Source organism: Homo sapiens, chromosome 10 (genome assembly GCF_000001405.40).
Source record: "Homo sapiens chromosome 10, GRCh38.p14 Primary Assembly".
Classification (NCBI taxonomy): domain Eukaryota; kingdom Metazoa; phylum Chordata; class Mammalia; order Primates; family Hominidae; genus Homo; species Homo sapiens.
Genome location: NC_000010.11, coordinates 15,422,932 through 15,436,612, shown reverse-complemented (window position 1 = coordinate 15,436,612; position 13,681 = coordinate 15,422,932). Strand labels below are relative to the sequence as shown.

Genomic DNA, 13,681 nt, shown 5'->3' with positions numbered 1-13,681 from the left:
TAATTTGAGATGGAGTCTTACTCTGTTGCCCAGGCTGGAGTGCAGTGGTGAGATCTCGGCTCACTGCAACCTCCACCCCCTGGGTTTAAGTGATCCTCCCAAGCAGCTGTGCGTACACGTGTGTGCCACAACGCCGAGATAATTTTTGTATTTTTAGTAGAGACAAGGTTTCGCCATGTTGGCCAGACTGGTCTCGAACTCCTGACCTCAGGTGATCCACCTACCTCGGCCTCCCAAAGTGCTGGGATTATAGGCGTGCCACTGCACCCAGCCTCGCTTGCCATTTTTAAAACAACTTTTATTCTACCCCCTTTGTACTGTTTGGACTTCTGTTTACCATGTGCGTGTGTTGCCAGGTAAAAAAGAACTATGCCTTTTGGTTTTGTTTTTTTTTTTTTTTTTTTTTTTTTTTTTTTGTGTGTGTGTGTGTGTGTGTGTGTGTGTGTTTGAGACGGAGTCTCGCTTGGCCGCCCAGGTTGGAGTGCAATGGCATGATCTCTGCTCACTGCAACCTCCACCTCCCAGGTTCAAGCGATTCTCCCGCCTCAGCCTCCTGAGTAGCTGGGTGCCATCATGCCCCGCTAATTTTTGTATTTTTGTAGAGATGGAGTTTCACCGTGTTGGTCAGGCTGGTCTCGAACTTCTGACCTCGTGATCCACCCGCCTTGGCCTCCCAAAGTGCTGGGATTACAGGTGTGAGCCACCATGCCCAGCCCCAGAACTATGCCTTTTAAAGCCAAACCATATATCTTAATTTTCTTGCTCAAAGTAAAACAGAGCACATGTTACAAAAATGGAGAAGGAGAGGCTGCTAGTGGTGAAACCAAGTCCAGCACTGCCTTGTTGGTGAACGTTAAAGATTTCGCTGGAAACCTTGTTTGGGATACTTTGTCCTCCTGCCCCCAGCCCCAGCCTCTCCCAGGCACACCCCAACCTTCCCAGTCTCTAGCCCAGATCTCCTTCCTGCTCTCAGCTGTCAACTAATCTCTGCTAAGGTGGTCCATTTTTATTTATGTTTATATTTTATTAATTATATATTTTTATTTTTTATTCTTTTTTTTAAAGACAAAGTCTTGCTCTGTTGCTCAGGCTGGGATGCAGTGGCAAGATCTTAGCTCACTGCAGCCTTGATCTCCTGAGCTCAAGTGATCCTCCCACTTCAGCCTCCTGAGTAGCTGGGACTACAGGTATGCACCACCATGCTCAGCTAATTTTTAAGTTTTTATTAGAGATGGGGGTCTCACTATTTTGCTCAGGCTGGTCTCAAACTCCTGGCATCAAGTGATCCTCTCACCTTGGCCTCCCAAGGTGCTGGCATCACAGGTGTGAACCACCACATTTGGCCTAATTTTTAAAATCTATAAATGTATGTTTAAAGCAATGGTTAACCCTCGAGCCCTCTTTAAATGGATATAACAAGGGGAAGCCCCGGTTGATGCAAGGATTCAAACCCCTCCTTAGCTTCCTCTGGTGTGAATCGGAGGCTGGCAGAGAGGGCGAGTCAACGCATACATATTTGACAAAATGCAACAGTGTCAGTATATAGAGTTCCTCAGCTATGACTGGTTAATCACTGAGGCCACAGCGTGCTATGTGTCTGGCATCCTGCTAGGAATTGAGGCTACCAAAAACAATATCTGCTGCCAGGTCTCCATCCTAGAGGAGTTCCTATGCCAGTGTGGAAGATGGGCACATAAATCAATCATGACAGTTCCATGGGGTAAGTGGCTAAGACAGAGACGTGTCCAAATGTCCCTGAATCCCAGAGAGACGCTGTCCTTGAAGGATCTTAAACAGGAAAGATATGTGGTCAAAATACCACTCCTGGCAGCACCCTGGAAGATTAGAATCCAGGAGACCAGAGTGAATGCTCTGAGGACAGCCCGGACCAGAGCACATGGTGCAAGAAAGTGAGGGAGGGGCGCTGGGAGCAGGCAGAACTAGGTCAGTCCCCCATGGGATAAGTTATCTCCATGAAGTATGCAGTGTGTGTGTGTGTGTGTGTGTGTGTGTGTGTGTGTGTGTGAGAGAGAGAGAGACAGAGAGAGAGAGAGAGATGAGGAGTGAAAGCGATGTATGGAGGAGAGAAGGATGGGGGAGAGAGACAGGGAAAGAGGGAGAAATAGGTAGAGAGAGAAAGCGTGCGCGATAGAAAGGGAAATGGAGGAAGAGAAAGAAGAGAAAGAGACGCAGAGAGGGAGGGAAGAAAGGAGGGAAATGGAGAGAGAGAAGAGAGAGAGAGAGAGAGAAAGAGAAGGGGGGGAAGGAAGGAAATGGAGAGAAAAAGAAGAGAGACGGAGAGAAAGAAAGACGGGGGAGGGAGAGGGAGAAAGAGAAAGAGAGAAAATACTGCCCTCTGGTGGCTGACGGACAAAACTGAAGAATTATTAATAGTATTGTATGTGTTAAGTTGCTCATCTCCATTCTAAAAGGTGATCCCGCTGATAATGTCAGTCTTAAAGCATATAATTGAAAAACCTGGGGGAAAAATTGTTTTAACACATTCTTATATCTGAAGTCTGTGTGCTGATCAGCGGTGATAAACACACCACAGCCTTTACTCCTTATCTCCTCACATCTTCCAGCTGTGTGAAATATAGATTGCTTGCCTGCTAGTGAACTGTCTGTATTCAAGGATGGTTTCATAATTTCTATCAATGAAACCCTTCAATAATTTAGCTAACATAACTTTGGAAAGCTCAACAATGAGTCATAAAGAAAGTTAATATTGCCATCCATCCTGCAAAATACTTTCTTTATATGTTTGTGTATATGCTTATTGGTCTCAAAGTTAAAAACAATTTTAATAAATGTTATCCCATTATTTGCTATTAAATATTTAGATTCTGTTTTTTAAAAATATTTCACTGAACTGAATTTAAACAAGAAGAGCCTGGCTTGGTGCATGCCTGTATTCCCAGCTACTCGGGAGGCTGAGGCAGGAGGATCACTTGAGTCCAGGAGTTGGAGGCTGTGGTGAACTATGATTGCACCACTGGACTCTGGCCTGGGAGACAGAGGAAGGCCCTGTCTCTAAAAAATTAAAACAGATAAATAAAGATAATTGAAAATGATTATTTTTTTAAAAAACGATACCAAGCAACCACTCAAATAATGCTCACCAGCCCCCAAAACTGTATTTGCATGTGTGAAAATGCCCAGCTTTGTAAAGGGAGTCTGTAGTCTGTGTGTGTTAATATTCCCCAGAAACCAACCCAAGGCTTAGGAAAGAATAGAGAAATTTCCCCCTATTCTATGTATATTTGTAGCCATCATTTGAAATGTCTTAGGCACCTAAACCAAGCATGAAAAGCACAGTTTCATTCCAGCTTTATGAACTTTACGTCACATTAAACCAGAAGGCTCCCTTTTCTCCTTTATGTTTCTTCCATTTCTCAAATCAATTGTCAATTCTCAATCCAGAATTTAAGGGAGAAATTTAAAGAAAAAAGGGAGATAGATAAATTTAAAGAAAAAAATGAGATAAACTTCAACAATATTACAGACTTCAATTTTTTTTGTAACAAATTGTTCGCTGAGACTGAATTTTAACCAAGAATGGAGTGAGAAAATACTATATAACTTCTTTCTGGGTTTGAGTTTTGTTTCTTGTTTTTTTGAGCAACTAGCTTTCACTGTATTTATTCTGCCTTCTCTTAACCCAGCCAAATAGCCTGGAAACTTGGAAGGATGTCTGGTTTATTTTTTATTAATTAAAGAGAACGATAAAAGATAATACAAAAGATAATTTTTCAGTTTCCTGGACTCCAATCCCGTATATACTGGATGGAATCAAAGGTAAAATTAGATTACCATTGGAGAAGGAGCAGGATCCAGAGTGCACGGGAAGTTGGCTTTGGCTTAGAAATTATTATTTTGATGCTGTAAATGTTTCAATCTGACAACTCCCCCCACTTCCCAAGATTGTCATCAAATGTAGGAAAAGAAAGAAGTGAAAAATTACCTAGAACATGTATATGTATAACTGGGAATGTTGCCTCTCATTGTTTGAAAACATGACCTTTGTCCTTGCAGGGAATTCCAAATTCCTTGCCTGGAAACACGTTCTGAAAGGAGGTACAAGAGCACTTTGCAAACTATGGGATCAAAAAAAAACTGAACATAAATCTGATCGAACTCTGACACCAGTTTTCAGAACACACAGAGAGAGAGGAGCATGTTCCACACCATGTACTCACTAAGATCCATGCTGTGAGAACCTCTGCAGCAGCGGTCCCCAACCTTTTTGGCACCAGAGACCAGTTTCATGGAAGATAATTTTTCCACAGACCGGTGGGCGGTTGGAGCGGGGCTGGGAGGAATGGTTTTGGGACGAGTCAAGTGCATTACATTTATTGTGCCCTTTATTTCTATTATTACACTGTAATGTATAATAATTTTTTTTTTCTTTTTTTGAGACGGAGTCTCGCTCTGTCGCCCAGGCTGGAGGGCAGTGGTGTCATCTCGGTTCACTGCAACCTCCGCCTTCTGGTTCAAGCAATTCTCCTGCCTCAGCCTCCCGAGTAGCTGGGATTACAGGCCCGCACCAGAACGCCAGGCTAATTTTTGTATTTTTAGTAGAGATGGGGTTTCACTATATTGGCCAGGCTGGTCTTGAACTCCTGACCTCAGGTGATGGTGAAATAATTATAAAACTCACCATAATGTAGAATCAATGGGAGCCCTGAGCTTGTTTTCCTACAACTAGATGGTCCCATTTTGGGGTGACGGGAGACAGTGACAGATCATCAAGCATTAGATTCTCATAAGGAGCACGCAACGTAGATGCATCACACACACAGTTGACAACAGGGTTCCCGCTCCTATTAGATCTAATGCCACACTGATCTGACAGGAGGCAGAGTTCAGGCAGTAATGTGAGCAATGGGGAGCAGCTGTAAATACAGAGGAGGCTTTGCTCACTCCCCCGCCACTCACCTCCTGCTGTGCCAGCCCAGTTCTTAACAGGCCATGGACTAGTACCAGTCTGTGGCCTGGGGTTTGGGACCTCCGCTCTATAGAACAAACAATCCTGTTTTTATTTTTCAATAAATAAATACCAACCAAAAAAAAAGAGAGATGGGGAGGGAACCCACCAATTGAAATATATTGAAGAAACATATCAACAATTGTGATTTATGGATCTTATTTTGGATGTGAGTCAAGCCAACCATAAAATGTTATGAGACAGTTGTGAAATTTGAACCGTGGCTGGTTATTTTATTTCAACAAGGAAAGATTGATGATTATTTTTTCAGTGTAATCATGGTGTTTTGGTTATGTTTAAAATAAGGAGTCCTCGCTGGGTGCAGTAGCTCATGCCTATAATCCCACCACTTTTGGGAGGGTGAGGGAGGATCATTTGAGCTCAGGAGTTTCAGACCAACCTGAGCAACGTAGTGAGACCCTATCTCTACAAAAATTTTAAAAATTAGCTGGGTATGGTGGCACGTGCCTATAGCCCCAACTACTCAGGAGGCTGAAGTGGGAGGATCGCTGGAGCCTGAGAGGTTGAGGTTGCAGTGAGGTGTGATCACACCACTGCACAGCAGCCTGGGTGACAGAGTGAAACCTTGTCTCAAAAAATAAAAATAAAAAATGAAGAGTTCTTATCTTTCAGAGTGTTATCCTGGAACTGAAATTTGCTTCAAATAACCTGCAGGAGTGTGATCGGTATATATGATTCAAGACTGGCTGTGAATTAGTAACTATTAAAATCGAATGACAGGACCTTAAAGGTTCATTAATCTCCCTATTTTTGTATATATTCAAAATTTTCAATATCAAAGTGTTTAAAAGCAGGGGTTTGGGGAGGATGATGAACACCTGGAGCTCTCAAACACCACAGGTAGGAGTAGGAGTAGAGGTTGTTGCCACTACTTCAAAGAGCTATTTGGCATTTTGAAGTAGAATATGTGAATGCGTAATGCTGCCATTCCACTTCTAAGTCTTATTTATTTATTACTTATGTATTTACTGAAACAGAGTCTCACTGTGTCAGCCAGACTGGAGTGCAGTGGCACGATCTTGACTCACTGCAAACTCCACCTCCTGAGTTCAAGCAATTCTCCTGCTTCAGCCTCTCGAGTAGCTGGGATTACAGGTGTGCACCACCACCCCTGGCTAATTTTTGTATTTTTAGCAGAGAAGGGGTTTTACCATGTTGGCCAGGCTGATCTCAAACTCCTGACCTCAAGTGATCCACCTTCCTGGACCTCCCAAATTGTTGGAAGTACAGGCGTGAGCCACCGCGCCTGGCCCCGACTTACAGGGTTTTAGAAGACTGAAGCTCTAAGAGGCTGAATTACCATCAAATGGCTTTTTAAGCTTCCAGTCTATTGCCTTCTAATATTTTAAAATAATTGATTCCTATAAGAAATAACACAAGCGGCCGGGTGCGGTGGCTCACGCCTGTAATCCCAGCACTTTGGGAGGCCAAGGTGGGTGGATCACGAGGTCAGGAGATCGAGAACATCCTGGCTAACACAGTGAAACCCCGTCTCTAATAAAAATACAAAAAATTAGCCGGGTGTGGTGGCAGGTGCCTGTAGTCCCAGCTACTCGGGAGGCTGAGGCTGGAGAATGGCGCCAACCCGGGAGGCGGAGCTTGCAGTGAGCCGAGATGGCGCCACTGCACTCCAGCCTGGGCAACAGAGCGAGACTCTGCCTCAAAAAGAAAGAAAGAAAAGAAAGAAAGGAAAGAAAAGAAAGAAAGAAAGAAAGAAAGAGAGAGAGAGAGAGAGAGAGAGAAAGAAAGAAAGAAAGAAAGAAAGAAAGAAAGAAAGAAAGAAAGAAAGAAAGAAAGAAAGAAAGAAAGAAAACAAGCTACAGGCCAGGGGCGGTGGCTCACACCTGTAATCCCAGCACTTTGGGAGGCTGAGGCAGGTGGATCAACTGAGGTCAGGAGTTCGACACCAGCCTGGCCAATATGGTGAAACCCCATCTCTACTAAAAATACAAAAAATAGCCGGGCTGTGGGCATGGTAGCAGGCACCTGTAATCCCAGCTACTCAGGAGGCTGAGGTGGGAGAATCGCTTGAACTCGGGAGGCGGAGATTGCAGTTAGTCAACATTGCACCACTGCATTCCAGCCTGGGTGACAGAGGGAGACCCTATCTCAAAAACAAACAAACAAAAACAACAATAAAAATAACGCAAACTACATTTAATGAGGCAACGTGATGATAAACTGTCTGCAAGGACTATAAATGTTATTTTTTTTTTTTTTTTTTTTTTTTTTTTGAGACGGAGTCTCGCTCTGTCGCCCAGGCTGGAGTGCAGTGGCGGGATCTCGGCTCACTGCAAGCTCCGCCTCCCGGGTTCACGCCATTCTCCTGCCTCAGCCTCCCAAGTAGCTGGGACTACAGGCGCCCGCCACTACGCCCGGCTAATTTTTTGTATTTTTAGTAGAGACGGGGTTTCACCGTTTTAGCCGGGATGGTCTCGATCTCCTGACCTCGTGATCCGCCCGCCTCGGCCTCCCAAAGTGCTGGGATTACAGGCGTGAGCCACCGCGCCCGGCCTATAAATGTTATTTTTATGTTTTGTTATTATGAGATATTTAGGGTACATAAAGTATATAGGTTTACAGGAATATCTTACATAAACAAGAATGCATGTTGTATGTAATAATGGAAAATTGGATGCAATATAAATATATATCAATGGAAGAATAGCTTAAATGAAGTGCAAAACGCTCACTCAGTGGAATACTGTGCAAATATAAACATGAATAAAATAAATATTAACATGGGTAATTTCCCAAAACACAGTGTTGAATGAAGAAAAGTAGTTGCAAAAAAGACAAATTAAGTATGATAGATAACAAAGACACAAATGGAAAAAAGCAAACTCTACTAGGGAGGAAGGACAGGGAATGTACATGATACTAATCCACGGGGTGTTACAATATATGCACCATTTTTTCTTTCTTAAGCTCAATGGTAAGTGCATATATATTTGTTATGTTTTTTCTACCCTATTTTGTACTCCTCAAATATTTCATAACAAACAAAATAAGAGAAAAAAAAATGAACAAGATGATGACTACTAGCCAGCTTCAGTGACGGGCCAAGGAGTAGCAAGAAAGAGACAGCAGCCAGTCAGCTTGTCACATGCTCACTCATCAAAAAGAGTTTATCTTTCTTATAACATCAGTTGTTGTTGTTTTTCATCGAAAGGCAGCTTTCCGGGTGTAAAAACTCAATTTGCAGAGAAACAGGACCTCTCTGGACTTTATTACTTTGTGTGTAAAAAGAGCAGTGGAGGATTTGTGGGAGGATTCATCTACCCATCTAAACTACAAGACCTGGAGAGAATATATTGGCAGAGCACCTTCAGATGCTCAGATGACAGATGTCAAACGTAAATGTCCATCGACAGATGCTTTCACAATGTATCTCTATACTACAGGCACAGAATGTTAGAGTTGGAAAAAAACTGAGACTTAGAGTTCTAGTTGTAACCAGCCTAGAACTGTTAAGAGACTGGGTTTCCCTCCCCACTCCTGTTCTGTATCTGTTAAGTTTCCCATTAGTATCCCAGAGAGCAACAATTCTGAAATGACTAAAAACAGTGTAGTAGCGCCATCTACTGAACCTTAACTAATTCTACACAGAAACTTGGAAATGTCCTGAAGTCTGGAAAAAGTAGGCTGAAGTAAAGCATAAAACATAAGCACAATATAAGCCTCGAAAGAACTTTTATAATTAACTTATTTACTTTATTCCTTAACACTAATTAAAATATTAAAGTGGAACGTGTAACATAGCAATAATGTAAAAGCTGTATTTCAATTCATGAGTTTTTTTTTAACAAACTACTAAACTTTTACAAACTGCCACACTATTATAATTTGACTCAGAGAGGCACTCTTAAAATGTCTTTACTTCAAAATGGTGTGGATGCTTAGCAAGTCGCTTTCAGGGAGAGAGAACCCGAGTTTGTAGCATTTGTCTGTTTCTGTGGTGTGAATAGCCTAACCATTGTCAATTTCAACATGGCGTCACTACTCCCACAGATGCAGGAATGACATCTGTTGCCCACAGATGTCAATTTCCTCATGGAGTCACCGACCATGGCACTGATTGGCTCCAGAATATCTTTGCAAGTGCTTGGGCACACTGCTTGGTTCTAACTTAACAGTGGAATGCGTACTGAAACAGCAGATCACTTTGCATTTCCAAACGTTAATTTTTCCATCTGCGAAAAGGATGATATGTTTGGTGCAGAAGTGATTGCGGTTTTTGTCATTATTTTCAAAGGCAAAAACTGCAATTACTTTTGCACTAGCCTACTAAATAATCACTAAGATGTTTTCGAATTATACGATTCGAATTACGTAAACAAAAATGTTCCTTGGTAAATGAAGACTGGGAAAGCAGCACCAGACCTTCTTAAGGTCTGTCTGTGTTGAAGGACAAAGGATATTTTAAAAGTATCTTTCTCTGAGTAAAATTATAGTAGTTGGCAAAAGATTAGTAGTTTGTTTAAACAAACAAACAAAAAATCCCATTGGTCCCTCCCTTGCTGGGCCTAAACAGGGATTGGAAATACTTCCTCCCGCTCTGTTAGGGGAGGGTACAAAAAGACGCGGTGCTGCTGATTTTGTTACTAATATCTGTGAGGGAAGGAGCCAGCAGGGTTCAAAGTCGCAAAGAGAATTAATTGCACTCATTTGAGGAAAATTTAAGTTATTCCTTGCAAGTCTGCCCTAAACCTTCCTAAAGAATAAGGGCCTTAGAATGATAAAAGCTTATTCCCAGCCCTCAAAGAGCTGAGGCGCAATCTGACCTGGCCCGTGTGTCTCATTGCAAAACTGCACCGCTAGTAGCAGGATCCGAAAAGGACCAGCGAAGAGAAGGGAAACCACAGAAATGATTGACAGGGTAAGGCTGTGTCTGGCTTCACTCTGCGCGGTTTTGCTGAAGAGGATACTGAGGAGGAGAGGCGCGGGCTCCAGGGTTCTAGTAATGAGAGGTGACAGCATGCTGGCAGCCCTCACAGCCCTCGCTCGCTCTGGGCGCCTCCTCGGCCTTGGCGCCCACTCTGGCCGCGCTTGAGGAGCCCTTCAGCCCGCCGCTGCACTGTGGGAGCCCGTTTCTGGGCTGGCCAAGGGCAGAGCCGGCTCCCTCAGCTTGCGGGGAGGTGTGGAGGGAGAGGCGCCCGCGGGAACCGGGGCTGCACGTAGTGCTTGCAGGCCAGCACGAGTTCCGGGTGGGCGTGGGCTCGGTGGGCCCCGCACTTGGAGCGGCCGGCCCGCCCGCCAGCCCCGCCAACCCCGGGCAGTGAGGGTCTTAGCACCTGGGCCAGCAGCTGCTGTGCTCGACTTCTCGCCGGGCCTTAGCTGCCTCCCAGTAGGGCAGGGCTCGGGACATGCAGCCCGCCATGCCTGAGCTTCCCCCCTCTTCCCCCCGCCCCCACCATGGGCTCTTGCGCCACCCGAGCCTCCCTGATGAGCACGCCCCCTGCTCCACGGTGCCCCATCCCCTCGACCACCCAAGGGCTGAGGAGTGCGGGCGCAGGGTGGGGACTGGCAGGCAGCTCCACCTGCGCCCTCGGTGAGGGATCCACTGGGTGAAGCCAGCTGGGCTCCTGAGTCTGGTGGGGACTTGGAGAACCTTTATGTCTAGCTAAGGGATTATACATACACCAATTGGCACTCTGTATCTAGCTCAAGGTTTGTAAACACACCAATCAGCACCCTGTGTCTAGCTCAGGGTTTGTGAATGCACCAATCGGCACTCTGTATCTAACTACTCTGGTGGGGACTTGGAGAACCTTTGTGTCCACACTCTGTATCTAGCTAATCTAGTGGGGACGTGGAGAACCTTTGTGTCTAGCTCAGGGATTGTAAACGCACTAATCAGCACCCTGTCAAAACAGACCACTCGGCTGTCTGTAAAATGGACCAATCGGCTCTCTGTAAAATGGACCAATCAGCAGGATGTGAGTGGGGCCAGAAAAGAGAATAAAAGCAGGCTGCCCCAGACAGTAATGGCAACCCGCTCGGGTCCCCTTCCACACTGTGGTAGCTTTGTTCTTTCGCTCTTTGCAGTAAATCTTGCTGCTGCTCACTCTTTGGGTCCACACTGCCTTTATGAGCTGTCACGCTCACCGGGAAGGTCTGCAGCTTCACTCCTGAAGCCAGCGAGACCACGAACCCACCGGGAGGAACGAACAACTCCAGACGCGCCGCCTTAAGAGCTGTAACACTCACCGCGAAGGTCCGCAGCTTCACTCCTGAGCCAGCGAGACCATGAACCCCACCAGAAGGAAGAAACTCCGAACACATCCGAACATCAGAAGGAACAAACTCCGTACACGCCGCCTTTAAGAACTGTAACACTCACCGCGAGGGTCCGCGGCTTCATTCTTAAAGTCAGTGAGACCAAGAACCCACTAATGCCGGACACAGTAACTTCCGAAGTGTAGTGTTAGCAGTGTGTCTCCAAGGCTGAGGGAGGAAGCCTGCCAGCTGATTCTAATGTGCAGCCACAGGTGAGACCATAATCTCCTTACCCATTGTCTTTTTTGATGATTATTTGCTTGTTTTCAGTTTACAGCTATTAGAAATAATCTCCTATGAACATTCTTAGGCACGTCTTCTGTTGCTTGCGTGTGGTCATTTTAGCTGGGCCTATACCCAGCTAAAATAGAATTGCTGGGTCATAGTTAAAGTGAGCATATATTTAAGTCAGCCAAACTGGGACACTCTTGAAAGGGTGCTTTGGGAGGCCGAGGCGGGCAGATCACAAGGTCAGGAGTTCAAGACCATCCTGGCCAATATGGTGAAAGCCCATCTCTACTAAAACTACAAAAACTATCCGGCGGTGGTGGCGGGCGGCCTGTATGTAGTCCCAGCTACTCGGGAGGCTGAGGCAGGAGAATCGCTTGAACCGGGGTGGTGAAGGTTGCAGTGAGCCGAGATCACACCACTGCACTCCAGCCTGGGAGACAGAGCAAAACTCTGTCAAAAAGAAAAATAGAGAAAGAGATGATTTATAAAATAATTAACATTTATTTTTTGGCCATCAAATTGATTTAATACATCGGTAGACCTATGAAAAGATTTTGATTCAAAACTAGTTTTCAAAATTAAAATCCCTTCTAAAGTACTAAAACAGCCTAAATCCATGTAGATTAAAGAAAAATTTAAAAAACTATTTATGTTGAAAATCTGATTTAAAAAAAAAAGACTCTTTTTTTTTTTTTTTAAGACAGAGTCTTGCTCTGTCACCCATTCTGGAGTATAGTAGCGTGATCTTGGCTCACTGCCACCTCCATGATTCTTCTTAATACACATTCACATATATAAATTAGTTTTAGCCACATCTAGTATTTTTTTCTGAAGATATATATTTTTTAATATGGTTTTATTAATATTTTTTGTAAAATTACTCGCAAAATTTTATCAAAGTTGCATCTTATGCTTACTAATTTGGTTGTTGATGCCTTCAACTGACTTCTCCATCGAATGTATTTTTAATTCAGAAATTGCTCTCTCTGTGGGTGCTGCAGTATCTTGTAAACTGAGAACAACATCTATGAAATGATGGATAATCTCAATTTTAGTCTTTGTCATATTGAAACGTACAAATATTTATGCCCAGTATTTCCTACAGATTCTTTTTTCTCTGTTCAGAGTACTTTTCCTCAACAAATACTTTTATAAGCAAAACTCAGAAGATAAGTTGTCTCTATTTATAATTTTTATTTTGCCATATATATTTGCAACAAAATTATAGGCCTTCTCAATTCCCATTCCTTCCTTCCTTTTTTTCCTTCTGCCCTTCCCCTCTTCCCCCGCTTTTCTTGACAGGGTCTTACACTCTCATCCAGGCTGGAGTGTGCAGTCGTGATCTCAGCTTATTGCAACCTCTGCCTCCTGGGCTCAAGCGATCTTTCCACCTCAGTCTCCTGTGTAGTTGGAACCACAAGCGTGTGCCACCACACCCGACTAATTTTTGTATATTTAGTAGAGACGGGGTTTCACCATGTTGTTCAGGCTGATCTCAAACTCCCAGACTCAAGCGATCCACCCACCTTGGCCTCCCACAGTGCTGGGATTATAGGCATGAGCCAACACGCCTGGCCAATTCCATTTATTTCTGATATAAAATACAAACATATCCAGTTAAAATAGAAAATTCTGTCAAACATGTCAATGTATCCAAAGTAATATTTTAGAATTTCAAAATTAAGTCTTACTCAACATTTGAATTTGTTCAATTCCCCTCCCTCCCACTGTTTTTACAGGGATGAATTTCAGTGCCTTTCTGGGTACAAGCTTGATTTTGTTTTTCTTTTTTCAATAGCAGGGTCTCACTATGTTGCCCAGGCTGGACTCCTGGGATCAAGCCATCCTTCCACCTGAGCCTTCCAAGTAGCTGGGGCTACAGGAATGAGCCTGATTTTCAATAATTGCAATTTGCTAAGCTTTTAAAAGCTCCAGGTTTTGGTGACCAATTTTTGAACCTTTTCATTAAGATTTCCAACAGATTCTGAACAGAATGCAACAAAAATTCAGAGATTATCTTCCAAAATGTCTAATAGTATTGCAGGACAGTTTAGGTTCATTAACAATTATTCAAATGCACAAACATTTCTAAAACTTGAACATGATGGACAGCAAATAGAGAAAGATCATGCGTATGTCTGTAAAATTTTGACAAGTTTATCT

The 13,681-nt window shown here is 43.8% G+C and overlaps 1 annotated feature.

Moving 5' to 3' along the window:
- Positions 2,209-2,503: an enhancer, noted in NCBI's record as "tiled region #6046; HepG2 Activating non-DNase unmatched - State 4:PromP, and K562 Activating DNase unmatched - State 5:Enh". NCBI's record gives its function as "activates a minimal TATA promoter and a strong SV40 promoter by Sharpr-MPRA in HepG2 and K562 cells {active_cell/tissue: HepG2 | K562}" and the evidence as "EXISTENCE:reporter gene assay evidence [ECO:0000049][PMID:27701403]".